At 37.9% G+C, this 27,576-nt stretch overlaps 1 protein-coding gene across 46 annotated transcripts in view; it reads left to right on the forward strand.

Annotated features, from left to right (window-relative positions):
* The window catches only part of CCDC7 (coiled-coil domain containing 7), a 439,541-nt gene that overhangs the window by 189,562 nt on the left and 222,403 nt on the right, over nucleotides 1-27,576 (forward strand). For 40 of the 46 annotated variants that reach the window (XM_047425743.1, XM_047425742.1, NM_001321115.2 and 37 more), the window contains 2 exons: nucleotides 1,369-1,479; nucleotides 2,172-2,273. The exons of 4 other annotated variants lie outside the window; for them this stretch is intronic. In XM_047425743.1, the coding sequence (XP_047281699.1) occupies nucleotides 1,369-1,479; nucleotides 2,172-2,273 (213 nt within the window). The remainder of the gene's footprint in view (nucleotides 1-1,368; nucleotides 1,480-2,171; nucleotides 2,274-27,576) is intronic. 2 more of the 46 variants (XM_011519669.1, XM_011519675.1) reach the window with 1 other exon arrangement.

Below are 27,576 nucleotides of genomic sequence, written 5' to 3' on the forward strand. Positions count from 1 at the left end.
ATATTTTAGAGCAACACGTATTTGTCTGTTGGGTGGAGCCTTCTATGGGTATCTGTAGACTTCCAGTGAGCTCTACTTAATTTATTGTATTCTTCAATTCTATTTTCTTCTTGATCTAATGCTTAGTTGTTCAGTCTATTATTTAAAGTGGGATGTTAAAGTCTCCACCTATGATTGTTGTAGTATCTATCTGTAATTGCTAATGATTGGGCATGAAAGTTCACACATAGGATTTTAACCTGGAGCTGGTCTCCTCAATTTGCACGTACACACAGGGCTCCTCAGTTTGCACATACACACAGGGCTCCTCAGTTTGCGCGCGTGCACGCACACACACACACACACACACACATTCATACACACATGTTCTTATGTACACAAACATGCATATACATGCAAATAAACATATTTAGAAATGAGGAATTCTCATGGACATCTTCAATTCCAGTTTATCCTCTCAGGTCTTATTCTTGCCTTCCTTCATTTTGTATGTATTTGTTTTCTTTTCCACAGTGTAAACCTGACTGAACATTAACAACACATGTACTCATTTGCTTTATCCCCTAATGCTCCTCAATTTGTTTTAGAATTGCTTAGCTCATAGCACTAGAAAAACAAATTTACTAAAATATTTTGTGACTTTATTTGCACCCCACTCTCTTGACCAAGACTGAGAATATTTGTCAAATTTTTATTCACAAGTTACTTGAATTAATGCTTTGTTTCTTTCCTCAGTAGGTTCACTTATTTCTTTGAGTTATAGTTTCCCTTTCTAATTCTATTGATTTAGCTTTGTGTATATATATATATATGTGTGTGTGTGTGTGTGTGTGTGTGTGTGTGTGTATATATATGTGTGTGTGTGTGTATATATATATGTTTTGGAATTGTGCATTAACTTACTTCCCAAAGTGAAAAATATGCAGAAGGTATACTTAGAGCAGTTTCATTCCTCCTGTATCTCTTCCCTTTGTATTTCTCCAGTAAAGGTAACCATGTATATTGTTTTCCGGTTTGTTTTTCTTGTATTACATTTCATGAAATTAATTTTCTGTCTATTTCAATATTTTTCTTCATCTCTCCTTCATTCTTATCTAAAAGGTAGCATTCTAGATATGCATTTTTTCTATTTTTGTTTATTTGCTTTCTGCCTACTTAACATTATGCCTGGAAATAATGAAACAGCAACATACACCTATTAAAACTTCTCACAATTTTCATGTGAGATCTATCTCAATGGTAATTTACTCATGACTTTATGAGAATGAGAGAAAATGCTGCTGTGTACATGTTTAAAATGTGAAATTTGGAGATTTCACAATAGAGCTCTTTCTCTATTTGGTAGACTAAATGAATCTTTTTATGTAGCTGACAGTGAAGTTCCAGATGAAAATCTTATGGTTGAAAATAAAGATTCAGTAACAAAAGTCCAAATAGAACAAATGAAACAAAGAACTTCTAGTATGGAAAGACATGAGGGTAAGTATAATAATTATACATATCTTTACACTATTTTATTTTTATTTTTTGAGATGGAGTCTCGCCCTGTCACCCAGGCTGGAGTGCAGTGGCATGATCTTGGCTCACTGCAACCTCCATCTTCCGGGTTGAAGCGATTCTCCTGCCCCAGACTCCCGAGTAGCTGGGATTACAGGTGCACGTCACCATGCCTGGCTAATTTTTGTATCCTTAGTAGAGACGGGGTTTCACCATGTTGATCAGGCTGGTCTCGAACTCCTGACCTCGTGATCCACCCACCTTGGCCTCCCAAAGTGCTGGGATTACAGGTGTGAGCCACTGCACTTGGCCCTTCACACTATTTTAAGTTAACTCATCAGAGGTCTTTTTTCTTTGCATCATGAATATTTGAACATATAATTTGTAGAAATTTTATACTTTGACCTAAATGTGAATACTGCAAAATAACTAGAGAACTAAAGTGAAAGCTTTAATACCTTTTGATTGGTATTTGCATAGTCAGTGACTACCATGTAACAAGATTGCCTCCACACATGAGAATTTTCTGCTTCGCATCCACGGTCTATTTTAACGAATACCTCACTGCTGTAACTTCCTAGTCCTATTCCATTAATTTTACACAAATGAGAGGAAGTATTGCTGATTACTTGACATATACAGAAGTTTTATCATAGATCTGTTTTTCTGTTCAGAGACTCTTACAACCCCACAATTGCCTGAGGACATGGTTTTAGTTTCAAGAATCCAATCTGAAACTAAAAATCTTAAAGCTACCAGAAATGAGAGTTTTCATTGTAAGTAGTAAGTTTAAAATGTTATAAAATTATTTTCAATTATATTAAACAGCTTTTTTTATGGTTCATGAATATATCTACAACTTTTTTTGTAATTATTTTGTGTATACTTCTAGATCTATACTGGTGTCTCTATAATTACTGAATTAGATGTGTTAATTTTTCCACTATGATTGTGAATTTCCTTGTTCCTTTTTATAATAATGTCAGGTTTTACTTTATATCTTATGACATTTTATTATTAATGTACATATAAATTTAAAATTAACAATCTTACTGGAAGAAATAAACTTTTTCCTAATGAAGGGACCTGCTTTATCATTTTTATAGCTTTTGTTTGTTTGCCTTAAAAACTATCATGTCTCCCCATAATCCCAGCACTTTGGGAGGTAAAGGTGAGTGGATCTCTTGAAGCCAGGAATTCAAGACCAGCCTGGGCAATGAAGTGAGACCCTCATTGCCACAAAAACAAAACAAAACAAAACCCAAAACAAACAAACAAACAAAACTATCACATCTGCTATTAATGTAAATCTACCAACTTTCTTCTGATTGGTATTTGCATGATACATTTTATATTTCATCCTGGTAACTTAACATTCCTCTTTGTGTTTTTTTTTTCTGTATCTCTTGCATGAAGCTCATAGTTGTATATTTTTCAAATTCAGTCTAATATTTTTGTCTTTTAATTAGCTCTCCTAAACACATTTAGTCTTATTATTGATAATTTCTATGTTTAAGTATACCATTTCTTTGTCCTTCCTATTTTATCTGCCTGGTAAGTTTCTTTTACTCTTCTTTATGCCCTATTACTTAATATCATTACATATTTTTTCCTTGGACAAATGATACCAAATATTTTAAACTTTATTCTAAAGACACCTCTGTGTATCTAAAAAGTAGCATAAAGCTTATACTTCAACTAGTTGGTCTCTACTAATAGTTTATTACCACAAAGTGTGATTTGCTTATATCATGTGAAGTGAGACAGTATTATTGAGTCATTAGCATATATTGCAAGTATAGTACTTAACACCACAGATCTGGTTTTCATTTAGTTCTTTTTTTTATTTTTTATTTTTTATTATACTTTAAGATTTAGGGTACCTGTGCACAACGTGCAGGTTTGTTACATATGTATACATGTGCCATGTTTGTGTGCTGCACCCATTAACTCCTCATTTAACATTAGGTATATTTGCTAATGCTATCCCTCCCCCTACCCCCACACCACAACAGTCTCCATTGTGTGATGTTCCCCTTCCTGTGTCCATGTGTTCTCACTGTTCAATTCCCACCTATGAGTGAGAACATGCGGTGTTTGGTTTTTTGTCCTTGCGATAGTTTGCTGAGAATGATGGTTTCCAGCTTCATCCATGTCCCTATAAAGGACATGAACTCATCCTTTTTTATGGCTGCATAGTATTCCATGATGTATATGTGCCACATTTTCTTAACCCAGTCTATCATTGTTGGACATTTGGGTTGGTTCCAAGTCTTTGCTATTGTGAATAGTGCCGCAATAAACATATGTGTGCATGTGTCTTTATAGGAGCATGTTTTATAATCCTTTGGGTATATACCCAGTAATGGGATGGCTGGGTCAAATGGTATTTCTAGTTCCAGATCCCTGAAGAATCGCCACACAGACTTCCACAATGGTTTAACTAGTTTACAGTCCCACCAACAGTGTAAAAGTGTTGCTATTTCTCCACATCCTCTCCAGCACCTGTTGTTTCCTGACTTTTTAATGATCGCCATTCTAACTGGTGTGAGATGGTATCTCACTGTGGTTTTGATTTGCATTTCTCTGATGGCCAGTGATGATGAGCATTTTTTCATGTGTCTGTTGGCTGCATAAATGTCTTCTTTTGAGAAGTGTTTGTTCATATCTTTCGCCCACTTTTTGATGGGGTTGTTTGTTTTTTTCTTGTGAATTTGTTTGAGTTCATTGTAGATTCTGGATATTAGCCCTTTGTCAGATGAGTAGATTGCAAAAGTTTTCTCCCATTCTGTAGGCTGCCTGTTCACTCTGATGGTAGTTTCTTTTGCTGTGCAGAAGCTCTTTAGTTTAATTAGATCCTATTTGTCAATTTTGGCTTTTGTTGCCATTGCTTTTGGTGTTTTAGACATGAAGTCCTTGCCCATGCCTATGTCCTGAATGGTATTGCCTAGGTTTTCTTCTAGGGTTTTTATGGTTTTAGGTCTAATGTTTAAGTATTTAATCCATCTTGAATTAATTTTTGTATAAGGTGTAAAGAAGGGATCCAGTTTCAGCTTTCTCCATATGGCTAGCCAGTTTTCCCAGCACCATTTATTAACTAGGGAATCCTTTCCCCATTTCTTGTTTTTGTCAGGTTTGTCAAAGATCAGATAGTTGTAGATATGCGGCATTATTTCTGAGGACTCTATTCTGTTCCATTGGTCTATAGCTCTGTTTTGGTACCGGTACCATGCTCTTTTGGTTACTGTAGCCTTGTAGTATAGTTTGAAGTCAGGTAGCGTGGTACCTCCAGCTTTGTTCTTTTGGCTTAGAATTGACTTGGTGATGTGGGCTCTTTTTTGGTTCCATATGAACTTTAAAGTAGTTTTTTCCAATTCTGTGAAGAAAGTCATTGGTAGCTTGATGGGGATGGCCTTGAATCTATAAATTACCTTGGGCAGTATGGTCATTTTCACGATATTGATTCTTCCTTCCCATGAGCATGGAATGTTCTTCCATTTATTTGTATCCTCTTTTATTTCATCGAGCAGTGGTTTGTAGTTCTCCTTGAAGAGGTCCTTCACATCCCTTGTAAGTTGTATTCCTAGGTATTTTATTCTCTTTGAAGCAATTGTGAATGGGAATTCACTCATGATTTGGCTCTCTGTTTGTCTGTTATTGGTGTATGAGAATGCTTGTGATTTTTGCACATTGATTTTGTATCCTGAGACTTTGCTGAAGTTGCCTAACAGCTTAAAGAGATTTTGGGCTGAGACGATGGGGTTTTCTAGATATACAATCATGTCATCTGCAAACAGGGACAATTTGACTTCCTCTTTTTCTAATTCAATACCCTTTATATCCTTCTCCTGCCTGATTGCCCTGGCCAGAACTTCCAAAACTAAGTTGAATAGGAGTCGTGAGAGAGGACATCCCTGTCTTGTGCCAGTTTTCAAAGGGAATGCTTCCAGTTTTTGCCCATTCAGTATGATATTGGCTGTGGGTTTGTCATAAATAGCTCTTATTATTTTGAGATACGTCCCATCAATACCTAATGTATTGAGAGTTTTTAGCATGAAGGTTGTTGAATTTTGTCAAAGGCCTCTTCTGCATCTATTGAGATAATCATGTGGTTTTTGTCTTTGGTTCTGTTTATATGCTGGATTACATTTATTGATTTGTGTATGTTGAACCAGCCTTGCATCCCAGGGATGAAGTCCACTTGATCATGGTGGATAAGCTTTCTGATGTGCTTCTGGATTCAGTTTGCCAGTATTTTATTGAGGATTTTTGCATTGATGTTCATCAAGGATATTGGTCTAAAATTCTCTTTTCTTGTTGTGTCTCTGTCAGGCTTTGGTATCAGGATGATGCTGGCCTCATAAAATGAGTTAGGGTGGATTCCCTCTTTTTCTATTGATTGGAATAGTTTCAGAAGGAATGGTACCAGCTTCTCCTTGTACCTCTGGTAGAATTCGGCTGTGAATCCATCTGGTCCTGGACTTTTTTTGGTTGGTAAGCTATTAATTATTGCCTCTATTTCAGAGCCTGTTATTGGTCTATTCAGAGATTCAACTTCTTCCTGGTTTAGTTTTGGGAGGATGTTTGTTTTGAAGAATTTATCCATTTCTTCTAGATTTTCTAGTTTATTTGCATAGAGATGTGTATAGTATTCTCTGATGGTAGTTTGTATTTCTGTGGGATCGCTGGTGATGTCCTCTTTATTATTCTTTATTGCTTCTATTTCATTCTTCTCTCTTTTCTTCTTTATTAGTCTTGCTCTAGCGGTCTATCAATTTTGTTGATCTTTTCAAAAAACCACCTCTTGGATTCATTGATTTTTTTGAAGGGTTTTTTGGGTCTCTATTTCCTTCAGTTCTGCTCTGATCTTAGTTATTTCTTGCCTTCTGCTAGCTTTTGAATGTGTTTGCTGTTGCTTCTCTAGTTCTTTTAATTGTTATGTTAGGGTGTCCATTTTAGATCTTTCCTGCTTTCTCTTGTGGGCATTTAGTGCTATAAATTTCCCTCTACACACTGCTTTGAATGTGTCCCAGAGATTCTGGTATGTTGTGTCTTTGTTCTCGTTGGTTTCAAAGAACATCTTTAATTTTGGCTTTTGCCTTCATTTCGTTATGTACCCAGTAGTCATTCAGGAGCAGGTTGTTCAGTTTCCATGTAGTTGAGCGGTTTTGAGTGAGATTCTTAATCCTGAGTTCTAGTTTGATTGCACTGTGGTCTGAGAGACAGTTTGTTATAATTTCTGTTCTGTTTTTTTTTTTTTTTTGAGATGGAGTCTAGCTTTGTCGTCCAGGCTGGAGTGCAGTGGCACGATCTCGGCTCACTTCAAGTTCTGCCTCCTGGCTTCACGCCATTCTCCTGCCTCAGCCTCTCCGAGTAGCTGGGACTACAGGTGCCCGCCAGCACTGCCGGCTAATTTTTTGTTATTTTTAGTAGAGATGGGGTTTCACCATGGTCTCGATCTCCTGACCTCGTGATCCGCCTGCCTCGGCCTCCCAAATTGCTGGGATTACAAGCGTGAGCCACTGCACCCGACCAATTTCTGTTGTTTTACATTTGCTAAGGAGTGCTTTACTTGCAACTGTGTGGTCAGTTTTGGAATAAGTGTGGTGTGGTGCTGAGAAGAATGTATATTCTGTTGATTTGGGGTGGAGAGTTCTGTAGATGTCTATTAGGTCTTCTTGGTGCAGAGCTGAGTTCAGTTCCTGGATATCCTTGTTAACTTTCTGTCTCGTCGATCTGTCTAATGTTGACAGTGGGGTGTTAAAGTCTCCCATTATTATTTTGTGGGAGTCTAAGTCTCTTTCTAGGTCTCTAAGGACTTGCTTTATGAATCTGGGTGCTCCTGTATTGGGTGCATACATATTTAGGATAGTCAGCTCTTCTTGTTAAATTGATCCCTTTACCATTATGTAATGGCTTTCTTTGTCTCTTTTGATCTTTGTTGGTTTAAAGTACTTTTTTTGTTTTGCATTTGCTTGGTAGATCTTCCTCCATCCCTTTATTTTGAGCCTATGTGTGTCTCTGCACGTGAGATGGGTGTCCTGAATACAGCACACTGATGGGTCTTGACTCTTTATCCAATTTGCCAGTCTGTGTCTTTTAATTGGAGCTTTTAGCCTATTTACATTTAAGGTTAGTATTGTTATGTGTGAATTTTATCCTGTCATTATGATGTTAGCTGGTTATTTTGCTCGTTAGTTGATGCAGTTTCTTCCTAGCCTCTATGGTCTTTACAATTTGGCCTGTTTTTGCAGTGGCTGGTACTGGTTGTTCCTTTCCATGTTTAGTGCTTCCTTCAGGAGCTCTTTTAGGGCAGGCCTGGTGGTGACAAAATCTGTCAGCATTTGCTTGTCCGTAAAGGATTTTATTTCTCCTTCACTTATGAAGCTTAGTTTGGCTGGATATGAAATTCTGGGTTGAAAATTCTTTTCTTTAAGAATGTTGAATATTGGCCCCCAGTCTCTTCTGGCTTGTAGATTTTCTTTTTTTTTTTCTTTTTTTTTTTATTATACTCTAAGTTTTAGGGTACATGTGCACATTGTGCAGGTTAGTTACATATGTATACATGTGCCATGCTGGTGCGCTGCACCCACTAATGTGTCATCTAGCATTAGGTATGGATTTTCTGCCGAGAGATCCGCTGTTACTCTGATGGTCTTCCCTTTGTGGGTAACCTGAGCTTTCTGTCTGGCTGCCCTTAACATTTTTCCTTCATTTCAACTTTGGTGAATCTGACAATTATGTGTCTTGGAGTTGCTGTTCTCAAAGCACATCTTTGTGGCGTTCTCTGTATTTCCTGAATTTGAATGTTGGCCTGCCTTGCTAGATTGGGGAAGTTCTCCTGGATAATATCCTGAAGAGTGTTTTCCAGCTTGGTTCTATTCTCCCTGTCACTTTCAGATACACCAATCAGATGTAGATTTGGTCTTTTCACATAGTCCCATATTTCTCCGAGGCTTTGTTCGTTTCTTTTTATTGTTTTTTCTCTAAACTTCTCTTCTCACTTCATTTCATTCATTTGATATTCCATCACTGATACCCTTTCTTCTAGTTGATCGAATCGGCTACTGAGGCTTGTGCATTTGTCACGTAGTTCTCATGCCTTGGTTTTCAGCTCCATCAGGTCCTTTAAGGACTTCTCTGCATTGGTTATTCTAGTTAGCCATTCATCTAATTGTTTTTCAAAGTTTTTAACTCCTTTGCAATGGGTTCGAACTTCCTCCTTTAGCTTGGAGTAGTTTGATCGTCTGAAGCCTTCTTCTCTCAACTCGTCAAAGTCATTCTCCATCCAGCTTTGTTCCGTTGCTGGTGAGGAGCTGCGTTCCTTTGGAGGAGGAGTGGTGCTCTGATTTTTAGAGTTTCCAGTTTTTCTGTTCTGTTTTTTCCCCATCTTCGTGGTTTTATCTACCTTTGGTCTTTGATGATGGTGACGAACAGATGGGGTTTTGGTGTGGATGTCCTTTCCGTTTGTTAGTTTTCCTTCTAACAGTCAGGACCCTCAGCTGCAGGTCTGTTGGAGTTTGCTGGAGGTCCACTCCAGACCCTGTTTGCCTGGGTATCAGCAGCAGAGGCTGCAGAACAGCTGGTATTGGTGAACAGCAAATGTTGCTTCCTGATCGTTTCTCTGGAAGTTTTGTCTCAGAGGAGTACTAGGTCATGTGAGGTGTCAGTCTGCCCCTACTGGGGGGTGCCTCCCAGTTAGGCTACTCGGGTCAGGGACCCACTTGAGGAGGCAGTCTGTCCGTTCTCAGATCTCAAACTCCATGCTGGGAGAACCACTACTCTCTTCAAAGCTGTCAGACAGGGACATTTAAGTCTGCAGAGGTTTCTGCTGCCTTTTGTTTGGCAATGCCCTGCCCCCAGAGGTGGAGTCTACAGAGGCAGTGAGACCTCCTTGAGCTGTGGTGGGCTCCACCCAGTTTGAGTTTCCCAGCCGCTTTGTTTACCTACTCAAGCCTTGGCAATGGCGGGCGCCCCTCCCCCAGCCTGGCTGCCGCCTTGCAGTTTGATCTCAGACTGCTGTGCTAGCAATGAGCGAGGCTCCGTGGGCGTAGGACCCTCCGAGCCAGGTGCGGGATATAATCTCCTGGTGTGCTGTTTGCTGACCGTTGGAAGAGCGCAGTATTAGTTTGGGAATGACCCAATTTTCCAGGTGCCACCTGGAAAAGGGTGCCACCCTTTCTTTGACTAGGAAAAGGAATTCCCTGACCCTTTGCACTTCCCAGGTGAGGTGATGCCTCACCCTGCTTCAGCTTAGGCTCGGTGCCCCGCACCCACTGTCCTGCAACCACTGTCTGACACTCCGCAGTGTGATGAACCCAGTACCTCGGTTGGAAATGCAGAAATCATCCGTCTTCTGCGTCACTCACACTGGGATCTGTAGACTGGAGCTGTTCCTGTTCAGCCATCTTGGCTCCAGCACCTCATTTAGTTCTTAAAAAGATTTTCTTATTGTATCCTAGAGTATGGATGATGAATTAGATGAAAATATTTTGCCTGACACTTAGAACTGTTAGAAGAAAAAGACTCAGCAGTAAATGTAATGATGAATATTATTAAATTATTTTAAATTAAAGTTAACTTTGAATAAATTAAGCAGAATTTGGTTTATGGATGTGTATCACGTTAGGACTGTAGAAACATGCATTAAATTGTGCTATTTAAAGTAGTATTTATTTTTTGATTTCCTTTAATTTTTTGTTAGTTCTGACATTTACTAAGAGAGGCATGTTGAATTCTCCTCCTATTATTTTGGATTTATCTATTTCTTCTTGTAGTTTTGTCTTCTTTTTAAATGCTGCTTATGTTATTGGTGCATATGTATAAAAATTCCATATTTCTGGCAAACTCAACTTTTTCATTTCATGAAAGGAACCTTCTGAATCTCTGGTAAGGTTATTTGCCTTAAATCCTATTGTGTCTTACATTGACATACTATGGTGATTTTTGTTAGTGTATGTGTGGTGTATCTCTTTTCATCTACTTGTTTTCTGTCTTTCTGGATTTTTATAATTTACTGACATAGCTTGTAAATCACCTATAGTTAGATTTTTTTTTGTTTACAAATCCAGTGTGACTGTCTTTTTTTATTCATAGAACGTTTCAATGTTTTAATTTAAAATTATTGTAATTATTGACACATTTGGATTTAAATATTTTGAGCTGCTTTTTGTTTCTTCTACCCAATCCATGTTTACTTCTCTTTAATTTATTTCTTTATGTTGGAATCTTTTTTTATTCATTCTGATTTTTAAATCAATTATTTCTGTTTTAAAATGTTTAAACTTTTTAAAAAAGATTAATACTCTTGGAAAAATAAAATTGACTTTCAACTTTTTAAGTGCATATAGTATATGAAGTAATAGAGTGTTTCCATATCCTTGCAGTAGAAACACTTTCATGATTTTTACATGTAACTTCATAGTTTATTTTGAAAATTAATTTGGTCTTTTTTTGAAAATTAATTTTCAAAATTATTTTGAAAATTAATTTTCAAAATTATTTTGAAAATTAATTGGTCTTTTCAATTCATTTAATTGAATTGTGGTCTTTTACTTAAATTTTTATAAAAATGAATGGAAACTTTGATTTCTGGCATATTTTTAACAATTCAGAGGCTTCACAATTAAATGGTGTCACTCTTTATTGTAGTCTAAGCCTCTCTTCCTTTTTATTTAAGATTTTAATTTATAATTGACATAATGGTACACATTCATGGGGTACAATATGGTGTTTTAGTCCATGTATACATAGTATAATGATTGAATCAGGGAAATTACCATATATATCGCTAGAAGAACTGGTCATTTTTATGGTAATAACATTCAAAATCTTCTTGTCTAGCTATCTTGAATTATACACTACAATGTTATTTGCTGTAGTACCCTACTGTGGAACAGAACACTAAAACTTCTTCTTCATGTCTAACTGTATCTGTGTACGCATTAATAAGCCACTTGCTGTTCCTCCTCCCCCAACCCCTCCACAGCCTCTGATAAGCACTATTCTACTATTTCCATAAAATCAACTTTTTTAGATTCCACATATGAGTGAGATCATATGGAGTTTGTCTTTCTTGCCTGGCTTGTTTTACTTGACATAATATTCCTCTAGGTTCATCCATGTTGTTGCAAATGACAGGGCACCATTTCTGTTTTATGGCTGGTGATATGGTTTGGCTATGTTCCCACCCAAATCTCTTCTTGAATTGTACTCCTATAATTTCCACATGTTGTGGGAGGGACCCAGTGGGAGATAATGAATCACGAGGGCGATTTCCCCCATACTGCTGCTAGTGAATAAGTCTCATGAGCTCTGATGGTTTTATAAGGGGTTTTTGCTTTCACTTCTTCCTCATTCTCTTCTCTTGGCTGCCACCATGTGAGACGTGCCTTTCACCTTCTGACATGATTGTAAGGCCTCCCCAGTCACCTGGAACTGTAAGTCCATTAAACCTCTTTCTTTTGTAAATTGCCCAGTTACAGATCTGTCTTTATCAGCAACATGAAAGTGTACGAATACAACTGGATAGTATTCATTGCAGAACCATGAGCCAATTAAACCTCTTTTCTTTGCAAATTACCCAGTCTCAGGTATTTCTTTATTAGCAATGTGGAACCAGACTAATACAAATCTTATTTTAAAAATGGGCTAAAGATGTGAATAGATATTTCTCAAAAGAAGACATACAAATGGCCAACAAATATATGAAAAAATGTTCAACATCACTAATCATCAGAGAAATTCAAATGAAAACCATAGTGAGATATCACTTTATCCATGTCAGAATGGCTATTATAAAAATGACAAAAATAACAAAATCTTTCAAGGATATGGAGAAAAGGGAACTCATACACTGTTTGTGGGTATATAAATTAGTGTAAACACTATGGAAATCAGTATGTTTTTTGTCCTTTATTCTGTTAATGTGATGTGTCACATTTATTTGTTTGTGGATATTGAACCATCTGTACTTCCCTGATATGAATCCCACTCGATCATGGTAAATGATCTTTTTAATGTGTTGTTAAATTTGGTTTGTTAGTCTTTTGTTGAAAAATTCTGCATAAATTTTCATCAGTGATACTGACCTGTAGTTTTATTTTCTGTTGAGTCCATGTCTTTTTTTTTTTTTTTTTTTTTTTTAATCAGAGTAATGCTGGCCTTGTAGAATGTGCTGGAAGTATTCCTTCCTCTTCAAGTTTTTGGGATAGTTTGAATAGAACTGGCATTAGTTCTTCTTTAAATTTTGGTAGCAGTCAGCAGTGAACCCATCAAGGTTCCTGGGCTTTTCTTTGATGGAAAGCTTCTAATTATTGCTTTTGATTTTGTTTCTCATTATTGGTGTGTTGAGATTTTCTATTTCTTCATGATGCAATCTTGGTAACTTGCGTGTGTCCAAGAATTTATCCATTTCCTCTAGGTTTTCCAATTTGTTGGCATATAGTTGTTTGTAGTAGCCTCTTATGATCCTTTGTATTTCTGTGGCATCAGCTGCAATGTTACCCTTTTCTTCTCTTGTTTTAGTTATTTGAATTTCCTCACTTTTATTTTTAGTCTATCTAAAGGTTTGTCAAGTTTGTTTATCTTTTCAAAATACAGCTTTTTGTTTTGTTCATCTTTTATATTTTTTAATCTCTTTTTTGTTTATTTCTGCTCTGATTTTATTAGTTTGTTCCTTCTACTTATTTTCGGATTGTTCTTTTTTTTTTAGTTCTTTGAGGAGTAATGTTAGGTTGTTTATTTGAGTTCTTTCTAGTTTTTTTTCATGTAGGTGTTTATTGCTATAAACTTTATTTTAGGGCCATTTTTCCTATATTATATAGGCTTTTGTATGTTGTATTTTCATTTTTCATTTGTCTCAAGGAATTTTTAAATTAAAAAACTTTCTTTTCTTTGATGCATTGTTTTTTTCATGAACATGTTGTTTAATTTTCATGTATTTGAACAGTTTCCAAAGTTCCTTCTGTTATTGATTCATAGTTTTATTCCATTGTAATCATAAAATATACTTCATATGATTTCAATTAAAAAAATTGTTAAAACTTGTTTTGTCGCCTAATATATGGTCTGGAGAATCTTCCATGTGCTATGGTGAAGAATGTATATTCTCTAGCTGTTGGGTGACACGTATTATAAATGTCTGTTAGGTTCATTTTGTCTAGAATGCAGTTTAAATTAAGTGTATATTTTCATTTTTTTATTTCAACTTTTCTTTCAGATAAAGGTGTGGGGGGTTACATGTGCAGAATTGTTACATGGGAATGTTACACAGTACTCAGGTTTGGAGTATGGATCCCATCACTTTGGTAGTAAGCATAGTACTACATAGGTAGTTTTTAAACCCACCACCACCTTCCACCTCTAGTAGGCCACAGTGCCTATTGTTGTCATATTTATATCCACATGTGGTCAATACTTAGCTCCCACTTATAAATGAGAACATGCAGTATTCAGTTTTCTGTTCCTGTATTAATTTGTTTAGGATTATGCCCTCCAGCTCCATCCATGTTGCTGCAAAGGACACGATCTCATTCTTTCTAATGGGTACATAGTATTGCATGGTATATATGTCCCATATTTCCTTTCTCCAATCTGCCATAGTTGGGCAACGAGATTGATTCCATGTCTTGCTATTGTGAATAGTACAGTAATGAATATTTGAGTGCATGTGTTTTTTTGGTAGAATGACTTATATTCTTTTCAGTATATACCCAGTAATGGGACTGCTGGGCTGAATGGTAGTTCTGTTTTAATTTCTTTGAGACATCTCCAAACTGCTTTCCATAGTGGCTGAGCTAATTTACATTCCTACCAACAGTGTTTAAATGTTCCCTTTTATAGGCTGGGAACAGTGGCTCACGCCACTAATCCCAACACTTTGGGAGGCTGAGGTGGGTGGATCATTTGAGGTCAGGAGTTTGAGACCAGCCTGGCCAACATGGTGAAGCCCTATCTCTACTGAAAATAGAAAAAAAACAGCCAGGTGTAGAAGCACGTACCTGTAATCCCAGCTACCTGGGAGGCTCAGGCAGGAAAATAGGTTGAGCCCTGGGGGGTAGAGGTTGCAGTGAGCTGAGATCGTGCCACTTTTCTCCACAGCCTTACCAGCATCTGTAGTTTTTTGACTTTTTAATAATAGCCATTCTGACTGGTGTGAGATGGTATCTCATTGTGCTTTTGACTTGCATTACTCTAATAATTAGTGATGCTGATCATTTTTTCATATGCTTGTTGGCAGCATATGTCTTTTTTTGATAAGTGTCTGTTCATGTCTGTTGCCCATTTTCAATGGAGATTTTTTCTTGTTGATTTGTTTAATTTCCCTATAGGTTCTGGATATTAGGCCTTTGTTGGAGACATAGTTCATGAATACTTTCTCTGATTCTATAGATTGTCTGTTTGCTCTGTTGACAGTTTCTTTTACTGTGCAGAAGTTCTTTAGTTTAATTAAATCCTACTTGTCTATTTTTGTTTTTGTTGCATTTGCTTTTGGGGACTTAGCCAAAAATTATTTGCCAAGGCCTATGCCAAGAAAAATATTTCCTAGGTTGTCTTCTAGGATTTTTATAGTTTGAGGTCTTACATTTAAATCTTTAATCCATTTTGAGTTGATACTCATATAAGGTGATAGATATGGGTTCAACTTCAATATTCTGCATAAGGTTAGGCAGTTATTCTAGCATCATTTATTGAATTGGGAGCCCTTTCCTCATTGCTTGTTTTTGTTGGTCTTGTCAAATATCAGATGGCTGTAGGTGTGGGGCTTTATTTATGAGTTTTCTATTCTATTTTATTGGATTGTGTGTCTGTTTTTGTACCAGTACCAAACTGTTTTGGTTATTGTGGCTTTATAGTATAGTTTGAAGTTGGCTACTGTGATGCTTCTGGCTTTTTTCTTTTTGCTTAGTATTGCTTTGGTTATTTGGGCTCTTTTTTGCTTCCATATAAGTTTTAGAATAGTTTTTCCTAATTCTAGGAAGAATGGTGGTGTTAGTTTGATAGGTATAGCATTGAATCTGTAAATTACTTTGGGCAGTATGGCCTTTTTTACTATATTGATAGTAAATAGTGCTGCAACAAACATATGCATGCATGTATCTTTATAATAGAATGATTTATATTCCTTTGGCATATACCCAGTAATATATTTGGGATTGCTGGGTCAAATGATATTTCTGCCTCTAGGTCTTTGAAGAATCACCACACTGTCTTCCACAGTGGCTGAACTAATTTACACTCCCACCAACAGTGGAAAAGTGTTCCTTTTCCTCCACAACCTCGCCAGCATCTGTTATTCTTTGACATTTTAATAATAGCCATTCTGACAAACTTGAGATGGTATCTCATTTTGGTTTTGATTTGTATTTCTCTAACGATCAGAGATACTGAATTTTTTTTCATGTTTGTTGGCCACATGTATATATTCCTTTGAGAAGTGTCTGTTAATGTCCTTTGTCAACTTTTTTATGGTGTTTTATGTCGTTACAGCACTATTTACAATAGGAAAGTCATGGAATTAACCTAAATACCTATCAATGACAAATTGGATAAAGAAAATGTGGTACATATATTCCATGGAATACTATGCAGTCATAAAAAGGAACCAGATCATGTCCTTTTGTAGGAATATGGTTGGAGTTGGAAACTATTATCCTCAGAAAACTAATGCAGGAACAGAAAACTAAATACCACATATTCTTACTTCTAAGTGAGAGCTGATGGATGAGAATACATGGATACATGGGGGGATCAACACACACTGGGCACCTGTGGGAGTTGTGGTGGGAGGGAGAGTGTCAGGAAGAATAGCCACTGGATTCTGGGCTTAATACCTGGGTGATGGGATGATCTGTGCAGTAAACCACCATGGCACACATTTAGCTATGTAACAAACCTGCACATCCTGCACATGTATCCCTGAACTTAAAATAAAAGATGAAGAAAAATAAAGAAAATTGGCCCCCAATCTTTTCTGTCTTGTAATGTTTCTGCTGAGAGGTCTGCTGCTAGGCTGATGGAATTCCTTCTCTAGGTGACTGGCACCTTCTCTCTAGCTGCCTCTAAGGATTTTTCTTTTGCAATCCCTTTGATGAATCTGATGATTAATTGCCATAGGAATGATTATCTTATATCGTATCTGGCTGAAGTTCTCTGTATTTCTTGGATTTGCATGTTGACCTCTCTAGCAAGAGTAGGAAAATATTTGTGGACTATATCCTCAAATATATTTTACAAGTTGCTTATTCTCCTCTCTCAGGAATGCCAATGAATTGTTAATTTTGCCTTCTTACATAATCCCATATTTCTGGGATGTTTTGTTCATTTTTCTTAATTGTTTTCTTTATTTTTGTCTGACTGAGTTGATTCATAGAACCAGTCTTCAAACTCTGAGATTCTTTCCTCAACTTGGTCTATTCTGCTGTTAATACTTCTGATTGTATTATGAAATTCTTGTAGTGAGCTTTTCAGCTCAGGAAGTTCAGTTTGGTTCTTCTTAAAAAGGGAATTTTGTTGTTCAGCTCTTTGTTTTAGTGGATTGCTTGGCTTTCTTGGATTGATTTTCAACTTTCTCTGTGATCTCAATGAGCTTCTTTGCCGTCAAGATTCTGAATTCCATGTCTGTCATTTCAGACAATCCAGACTGGTTATGAACCATTACTAGGGAAGTAGTGGGCTCATTTGGAGGCAAGGCGACATTCTGGCTTTTTGAATTACCAGGGTCCTTGTCCTGATTTGTTCTCATCTGGGAGGACTAGTATTCTTTTCATTGTGTTATAAATTGAGCATAGTCCATTGGCTTTGCTTCTGGAAGTTTCAGAGGACTAAGGCTCTGTATAGGGTCTTTGTTGTAAAATTCTTGTTCTTGGTTTCACAGTGGGGATAATTATTAAAGTGATTTTTGGTGTTGTAGTTTGGGTTGCCATACGGTAGATGGTGCTTGAGAGCAATGAGCAGTAGATAGGCTCTTAACCACACATTTCCTTTGTGCATCTTCACATTTGCAACTGTGTTCTGCCATGTGAGGAGAAGAGATGTAACTCTCTCACCAGGCTTGCCCATGAGCCTTGGGAGAACCACTGCCAACCACTGGCACTGTGCCTGCAATTTTGTTGTGGTGATGGTGGTTAGATCTTTTGGGCCACAGGGCTCCCTTAGGGAGAGGTCTGATGGGGAAACAGGCAACACCCTTTATGAATCAACCTTGTGCAGGGAGGCATGGCTAGGTCTCACACCAGCTTGTGAGCCTGTACCACTCAGGACTCTCAGTTTTCTGAGAGTGTGGGCTCCTGTCCTGTTCAAGTACCAAGCACAAATCTCAGCTCAACCCTCCTGAGCCACAGGCTACAGCCTGAGGGCTCTAGGGTCTGCTTGCAACTCCCTCCTCCAGGCACTCAGGGATGGGTTCTGGGTGCAGTGTGGGATCTGAAGGGCTCCCAGGATGCCAGAATGCACTCAGGTGGAGCAAAACACCCAGTCTGGGCAGTGGAGGCTGCATTATGTACATTCTCTTACGGGACAGTTAGGGAAGGTTCCTGGGAGGGGCTGGCAGGCAGGTGGGTCTGCGGGTCAGATGTGCCCCAGTCCCACAGAGAAGCACAACCTGTTTTCTCCTTGGTGGGTTCAGAGCCTCTCAGAGGGAGACAGGTAGCCCTGGGAGTGGATGCTTATGGCTGAGCTTTGCTGGGACTGACCTGCACTCAAGGGTCCTCAGCTTTGCACCTGCTGCAGCTCTGTCTCCATCTAATCTTCAGGGAGATCTCCCCTGCCAGCTCACACATCCATGTGGGAGTGAGTTCCCCTGCAACTAGGATCTCAGAGGTTTGCAGTAAGATTGAGCAGTCTCCCAGTCTCTTAACTCACCCCTTCCTCAGGCACCATTTGGTGCTGGGAAACAGCTGGGGTGCTCAGGTGCTCCAACTTGGGTTCCCAGCTTCCTCCCTATTCAGCCTCAGCATGTGAGTCTTTTTTCCATCCACATTTGGTGTTTTCTGTCCAGAGATTGGTTCAAATTATGTTGGTATAGTCGAAACTGTGAGCTCTGTCTATGAGAGCAGCAGTTCCTGGTTGCGTCTAGTCAGTTGTCTTGGAAAATGTAAGAGTTAAAGAAAAAGGAAAGAAACATGAAAAATGGCTCAGCAGTCAAAGACAGGTTTATTTTGGAGAATAAACTGGAGAGCGGTTTCTGGAGGATTTCGGGCAGGAGCACTCTGTCTTACAGACTAAGAGTATTTAAGGGTTCAGGGTGAGAGAGCTTATCACAGGGTAGGAAGTTTCTGTGTGGAGGAAAAGTTTATTGCAGGGTTGGAATGTCCCTGGTCGGAGGGGAGGTCATCTTGGGGCTGACACCTCTCTGGCGGGAAGGGAGGTTTTCTTGGGGCTGGCATGTTTCTGGTTGGGGAGAATTTTATCTTAGGGTTAGAATGTTTCTGGTCAGAGATGTTATCTGTGGTTTATGGTCATGCTGACATTAGCCATTAGGCTGATGCCCTTTGGGAAGATTTAGGCGGTTTTTTATTAAGGTGAACTTTAAAGTGGCAGTGCTTGTCCAAGATGGCAATGCTTCTGCTCTGTCAGAAAAATTTCCAGTTTCTTTGTTGATTTTTTGTCTGGATGATCTGAAAGTGTAGTGTTGAATTCCCCTCCTATTATTGTATCACGTTCAATCGCTTTTAGTCTGTTAATATTTGCTTTATATGTTTAGGTGCTCCTGTGTTGTGTGTACATATATTTATAATTGTTACATCCTTCTGTTGTATTGAGCCCTTTATCATAATATAATGGCTTGATTTATATTTTTAAAATAATTTTTAACTTAAAGTGTATTTTATCTCATATAAATGTAGCTACTCCTGCTCTTTTTTGGTTTCCCTTTGGTTGGAAGATCTTTTTCCAACCCTTTTTTTCAGCTTATGCATGTCTTTATAGGTGAAGTAGGTTTTCTATAGGGCACATATACTTGGATCTTATTTTTTTCATTCAGCCACTCTATGTCTTTAATTTGGAGAATTCTGTCCTTTAACATTCATGGTTATTATGCATAATTAAGGTCTTACTATTGATATTTTGTTGCTAATTTTACTGTTGTTTTGTAAATCTTCTCTTTCTTACTTTCTGTCTTCTTTTGTGGTTGTTTTTCTCTGATGGTATGTTTTAATTCATTGCTTTTTGTTTTTAGTATATCTATTATAGGTTTTCACTTTGTGGTTACCGTGAGGCTTACAGAAAACATCTTATGTAACTAATTATTTTAACCTGATGACAAGTTAACATTGGTCACAAAGAAAAGAGAAACAAAACTAAAAAAAACTTTATACTTTACTCCTCACATTTTGACTTTTAGATATCTCAATTTCTATATTTTTGTACTGCCTAATGCATAATAAATTTTTCTAGTTATTATTTTTTAATAGTTTTGTCTGTCTTCAAACTAAATATATGAGTCCTTTATATACCACAGTTACAGTATTAGAGTATTCTGAATTTGTATTGTTTCTATTAGCAGAGATTTTTATAAAAAATTTCTGATGTTTCGTTGTTAAACATTAGAATCCTTTGCCATCAGATTGAGTAACTTCCTTTAGTATTTCTTATAAAACAGGTTTGGATGTGGTAAGTTTTCTCACCTTTTGTTTGTCTAGGAAAGTCGTTATCTTCCCTTCATGTTAGAAGGATAGCTTTGTTGAATACACTATTTTAGGTTGTCAATTCTTTTCCTTCAGCACTTTGAATATGTCATCTTACTTCCCCCTAACCTGTAAAATTATTATTATTTTTTATATTTGGGACCTGAAGTCACTTTAGGCAGCTGGTGTTTAAGGGGTATAGGACTCAGGTTCCTCTTGCTGGGGCAGCTGATTCCCTTGGGGCTGGGGTGAGTCTCAATGCTCCCTATGTGAGCACTGGCCTAGAATCAAGGACCACAGAGTTCTAACCTGGTGCTGTGTTTTACTGTAGCAAAGCTGGTACTAAGTTCCAATACAGCCCCCACCCCCTGATACTTTCCTCTCCTTCAAGAAGAAAGATTTTTCTACACACTGTGCCACTTCGGTTTGGGGGAGGGGTGTGAGACTGTACTTTCTGCTCTCTTCAATGAATATTTTCTAGTTATTATGCTAAAACCAGGTACCATGACCTCTCACCTGATTCCTTTAGTTCTTGTGAAGGTGTATTCTTGCATGGATAGTCATTCAATTTGATGTTCCTGTGGATGGATAGGGTTCTTCCTCCATCTTGCTCTGGTGATTCTATCTCAAAGCCTTTCTTCTTATAGCTGAGAAAATGGGTGAGGTTTTTTCAGCCAAAGGAAAAATCTTACACCTGAATATAAATTTTAAACTCAAAAGCCCATCTCAAATTACAAATGTTGCAATTTCTAGAAAACAATTTCATATCACAATTTGACTATGATACATGTATGTGTGGATTTCTATGAGTTTATTTTTGAATTTATGGAACTTCTTGATGTGAAGATTAATGCTTTAACAAAATTTTGGAACTTTTCATTCACTATTTATTAAAAAAGTTTTTTCTTCTCTTCCTCTTTTCTTCTTCTGGAATGCCCATTATGTGTATGTTGGTACACTTGGATGGTGTTGTACCAATTTCTGAGGCTCTGTTAATTTGCTTCATTCCTTTTTCTTTATGTTTCTCTGACTAGGTAATTTCAACTTATTTGTCTTTAATGTCACTAATTTTTTTGTCTTTTAAAATAGTCCTTTGATTCCATCTTTCCATTTCAGTTATTGTGGTTTTCAACTCCAGAATTTCTATTTGGTTACTTCGGGAAATTTATATCATGCTATTGATTTTCTTTCACAGTGAGATATTATTACACTTTAATTCTTTAGATATGATTCCCTTTAGTTATTTGAATAGTTTTATAATAGCTGATTTAGAATCTTTGTCTAGTAAGTCCAACATCTTGGCATCTTCAGGGAGAGTTTTTATTAACTGATCTATTTTTGTTTTGTGTATTGGCTATTTTCTTGTTTCTGTGCGTGTCTGATAATTTTTTGTTTAAATTCTAAATAATATGATGTGAAATTCTGAAAATTAGATTACTCTTCTTTCCCAGGGTTTGTTATTTTGCTGTTTTTGTTATTTGTTTGATTAGTGCATTTCTTGGACTAGTTTTGTAAAGTTTATATATTTTGTTGTTTGTAACTACTGAAGTCTGCTTAGTTAGCTTAGTGATCAGCTAATGACTAGACAGAGATTTCCTTAAATGTATTGAATTGATGTCTCCCACCCTTGTAGAGGGGCTCCCTGTGTGTCTCTGTGTGTCTTGAGGCATGCTTTCAATGCTGAGGTAAGAAGTTTGTAACTCTGCCTTAGCCTTCATTTCCTGTTTGCTCAGAACCTCAAGGTCAGTTAGAGGTGAGAGATCTGGGAATATTCATGTCTTTCCTAAACCTGTGCACAGCCCTACATATGTGTTTTGTCTATTAGATTCCCTGATACATGTTAGAGCTTTATAGAGCCACTCCTTATGGACATCTAATTTCCCAATTTTTCTTTTTGAGATTTTGATGGTCAGCCCCAACCTGGTAGTGCTCATCACATGTCTACTATGTTAAGCAGTTACCACTGATCATTTTTTGACAAATGCCCTAGGGTGAGGGATATTCTGGACAAGGAAAGCTCTAAGTCAGGTCAAATAGATATATACCTTGACAGTGCATCTTTTCAGGAAGCTGGCAGATACATCATCAAATAGTGGTTATTCTCTAGGAATGGTGCTTTTGGGGATCCTCAAACTTATTTTGCCCTCTCTAGGGGTTGTTAGGCAGCTGGATTTCACAGCTATTATAGTTGTGAGGCTGTTGGTTGACTGGGTTACCAAGGACCTAGAGTGAGGGGAATGGAATTAGGGCATATTAACATGCTAACTGTTACCAAGGTCAGCCATTAGAAAATGTATTTGTTCTATAATGACTGTACACATATTTTCAATTGCACCAACAATTATACAAGGGTTTTCTTTCTCCAGTTTCTCACCATTTGTTATCTTTTGCGTTTTTCATTATAGTTGTTCTAATAGGTGTGAGGTGATATCTCATTGTGGCTTTAATTTGCATTTCCCTGATGATTAAAAATGTTGAGCATTTTTTCATATACTTGTTGACTATTTATGTGTCTTTTTTGTTTGTTTGTTTTTGAGAGACAGAGTCTTGCTCTGTTGCCTGGGCTGGAGTGCAGTGGTGTGATCTTGGCTCACTGCAACCTCCACATTCTGGGTTCAAGTGATTCTCCTACCTCAACTTCCCAAGTAGCTGGAACTACTTGGGATGCCACCCAAGTAGTGCGTGCCACCATGTCCAGCTAATTTTTGTATTTTTTAGTAGAGATGGGGTTTCACTGTATGTTGGCCAGGCTGGTCTCAAACTCCTGATCTCAAGTGAGCCACCTACCTTGGCCTCCCAAAGTGCTGGGATTACAGGCATTAGCCACGATGTCTGGCCTATATGTCTTCTTTTGAGAAATATGTATTAGGCTTTTTGTACATCTTTAAATTGGGTTGCTTCTTAATATTGAATTGATTGCATTCCTTACGTATTTTGACTATTAACTCCTTATCAGATCTATAGTTTGCAAACATCTTCTCCCATTCTGTAGGTTGTCTCTTCATACTGTTGATAGTTTTGTTTTCTGTGCAGGAACTGTTTAGTTTGATACAATCTTATTCTATTTTTGCTTTTGGGGTTGTATTAAAAAAATCATTGCTAAGACCAATGTCAGGGAGATTTTTCCCTACGTTTTCTTCTAGTAGTTTTATTGTTTTATATTTATTATGGCAGTTCCTCAAAAAATTAAAAACAGAATTACCATCAGATCCAGCAGTTCCATTTCTGGGCATACAGTCAAAAGAAATTAAATTAGTATGTCAAAGAGATATCAGCAATCCTATGTTTATTGCAGCATTATTCACAGTAGACAAGATGTGGAATCAACTTAAGTGTCTGTGTTAGTCCATTCTTATGTTGCTATGAAGAAATACCTGAGACTGGGTAATTTATAAAGAAAAGAGATTTACTTGACTCACAGTTCTGCATGGCTGGGTGGCCTCAGGAAACTTACAATCATGGCAGAAGGGGAAGCAAACACATCCTTCTTCACAAGGCAGCAGGAGAGAGAAGTGCCAATCAAAGGGGGAAAGCACCTCAGAAAACCATCAGATCTTGTGATAACTCACAATCATGAGAATAGCATGGGGGTAACTGCCCCCGTGATTCAGTCACCTCCCACTGGGTCCCTCCCATGTCATGTGGGGATTATGGGAGCTACAATTCAAGATGAGATTTGGGTGCGGCGAGCCAAACCATATCATTCCACCCGGCCCCTCCCAAATCTCATGTCCTCACATTTCAAAACACAATCATGCCCTTCCAACAGTCCCCCAAAGTCTTAACTTATTCCAGCATTAACTCAAAAGTCTAAGTACTTGTGAGACAAGGCAAGTCCCTTCTGCCTATCACCCTGTGAAATCAAAGGCTTACTTTCCAGATACAATGGGGGAACATGCACTGGGTAAATACACCCATTCCAAATAGGAGAAATTGGCCACAACAAAGAGGCTACATGCCCCAATCAAGTTCAAAATCCAATAGGGCAGTCATTAAATTTTAAAGTTCCAAAATGATCTTCTTTGACTTCATGTCTCACATCCAGGGCACACTGGTGCAAGAGGTGGGCTTCCGTGGCCTTAGGCAGCTCCACCCTTGTGGCTTTGTGGGGTACAGCCCCATTCCCAGGTGCCTTCACAGCTGGCCTTGAGTGTCTCCAGCTTTTCCAGGCACATGATGCAAGCTGTCAGTGGATCTTCCATTCTGGGGTCTGGAGGACAGTGGCCCTCTTCTCACAGCTCTACTAGGCAGTGCCCCAGTGGGGACTCTGTGTGGGGGCTCCAACTCCACATTTCCCTTCTACACTGCCCTAGCAGAGGTTCTCCGTGAATGCTCCCCACCTGCAGCAAACTTCTGCCTGGACATCCAGACATTTCCGTACATCCTCTGAAATCTAGGCAGAAGTTCCCAAATCTCAATTCTTGACTTCTTTATACCTGCAGGCTCAAAACCATGTGGAAGCTGCCAAGGCTTGGGGCTTGCACCCTCTGAAGCAATGGTCTGAGCTGTACATTGGTCTATTTCAGGAATGGCTGGAGGTGAAGCAGCTGGGATGTAGGGCACCATGTCCTGAGGCTGCACAGAGCAGGGGAACCTGGGCCTGATCCAGGAAACCATTTTTTCCTCCTAGGCCTCTGGGCCTGTGATGGGAGGGGCTGCTGTGAAGGTCTCTGACATGACTTGGAGACATTTTCCCCATTGTCTTGGTGATTAACATTAGCTCCTCGTTACTTATGGAAATTTCTGCAGCAGGCTTGAATTTCTCCCCAGAAAATGGGTTTTTCTTTTGTATTGCATCATCAGGCTGCAAATTTTTCAAACTTTTATGTTCTGCTTCCTCTTGAACACTTTGCTGCTTAGAAATTTCTTCTGCCAGATACCATAAATCATCTCTCTCAAGTTCAAAATTCCACAGATCTGTAGGGCAGGGGCAAAATGCTACCAGTCTCTTTGCTAAAGTATTGCAAGAGTCACCTTTATTCCAGTTCCGAACAACTTCTTCATCTCCATCTGAGACCACCTCAGGCTGGACTTCATTGTCCATATCACTATCAGCATTTTGGCCAAAGCCATTTAACAAGTCTCCAGGAAGTTCCAAACTTTCCCACATCTTCCTGCCTTCTAAGTCCTCCAAACTGCTCCAACCTCTGCCTGTTACCTAGTTCCAAAGTTGCTTCTACATTTTTGGTTATCTTTATGGCAGTGCCTCACTACTGTGGTACCAATTTACTATATTAGTTCATTCTCAAACTGCTATGAAGAAATACCTGAGACTAGGTAATTTATAGAAAAGAAGTTAATTTACTCACAGTTCCACATGGCTGGGATGGCCTCAGAAAACTTACAATTATGGTGGAAGGAGAAGCAAAGACATCCTCCTTCACAAGGTGGCAGGAGAGAGAAGTGCTGTGCAAAGGGGGAAAAACCTCTTATAAAACCATTCATATCTCGTAAGAACTCATTTACTATCATGAGAATAGCATGGAGGTTGGCGCCCTCATCATTCAATTACCTCCTGCTGGGTCCCTCCCATGACACATGGGGATTATGGAAACTACAATTCAATATGAGATTTGGGTGGGGACACACACAAACCATATCAGTGTCCTTTGACAAATGAATAGATAAAAATGTGCTGTATATATACACAACGAAATATTATGTGGCCTTAAATAAAGAAGTTCTGTCAGTTGCAACGGCATCGATGAACCTGGAGGATATTATGCTAAGTGAAATAATCCAGGCCCATAAAGACATATATTGCAGTCTTGGTAAGTTACATATTTCTATGAATTTATACATTTGTTCTAGATTATTCAATTTTTGGTGTATAATTGTTCATAATAGTCATAATTTTTTGTATTTCTGTGGTCAGTTGTAATGTCTCATCTCTCATTTATAATTGTATTTATTTGAATTTTCTTTTTTGTATAGCTAAAATTTTGCCAATTTTGTTTATCCTTTCAAAGAATAAGCTCTTAGTTTTGTTGACCATTTCTAGAGTTTTTCTAGTCTCTATTGCATTTAGTTCTGCTCTGATCTTCATTATTTCCTTCCTCCTATTAACTGTGGACTTAGTTTGCTCTTTGTTTTTAGTGTTCCATGACATGTACTAGATTTTTGGATTTGAGGTCTTTCTTTTTTTCTTAATGTAGACATTCATTGCTATAAACCTCCTGTTAGGACTGCTTTTGCATCATTTCATGTTTTGTTATGTTGTGTTTCCATTTTAGTTTATCTTGAGATATTTTTGATTTTCCTTTTTATTTTCTCATTGACTCATTGGTTATCCAGGAGTGTGCCACTAAATTTTCCCACATTTTGAATTTTCTGAAAAATTTCCTGTGATTGATTTCTAGTTTTATACCATTGTGGTAAGAAAAGATAATTGATATGATTTCAGCCTTCTAAAATTTGTTAAGACTTATTTTATGGCCTAAAATATGACCAAAGTCATACCTTGGAGATACTGCAGGTTCAGTTCTAGAACACCACAATAAAGCAAATATCACAATAAAGCAAGTTACACATTTTTTGTTTCATGGTCCATATGAAAGTTATGTTTAAGGTCTAATATCCAGCATCTATACGAAACTAAAACACATTTACAAAAAAATAAACAGCAACAACAACAAACAACCCCATTAAAAAGTGGGCAAAAGACATGAATGGACACTTCCAAAGAAGACATACATGTGGCCGACAATCATATAAAAAAAGCTTAACATCACTGATCATTAGAGAAATGCAAATGAAAACCATGAGATGCCGTCTCACACCAATCAGAATGGCTATTACTAAAAAGCCCAAAAAGAACTGATGCTGGCAAAGTTGCAAAGGAAAAGGAACACTTATACACAGTTGGTGGGAGTGTAAATTAGTTCAACCATTGTGGAAGACAGTATGGTGATTCATCAAAGACCTAAAAACAGAAATAGCATTTAGCCCAGCAATCCCGTTACTGGGTATATACCCAAAGGAATAGATATCATTCTCCTATAAAGACGTGTGCACATGTACGTGCCTGTTTGGTGCTCACTGCTTTTTGCCTGAGTGGGTACCTAAGGTACAAGACAAAGTCCTCTTTACTTTTTCCTCTGTTTTTCTTTTTTTTTTCTTTTTTTTTAATATTATACTTTAAGTTTTAGGGTACATGTGCACATTGTGCAGGTTAGTTACATATGTATACATGTGCCATGCTGGTGCGCTGCACCCACTAACTCGTCATCTAGCATTAGGTATATCTCCCAATGCTATCCCTCCCGCCTCCCCCCACCCCACAACAGTCCCCAGAGTGTGATGTTCCCCTTCCTGTGTCCATGTGTTCTCATTGTTCAATTCCCACCTATGAGTGAGAATATGTGGTGTTTGGTTTTTTGTTCTTGCGATAGTTTACTGAGAATGATGATTTCCAATTTCATCCATGTCCCTACAAAGGACATGAACTCATCAT

The sequence above is a fragment of the Homo sapiens genome, chromosome 10, assembly GCF_000001405.40.
Source record: "Homo sapiens chromosome 10, GRCh38.p14 Primary Assembly".
NCBI classification, from domain to species: domain Eukaryota; kingdom Metazoa; phylum Chordata; class Mammalia; order Primates; family Hominidae; genus Homo; species Homo sapiens.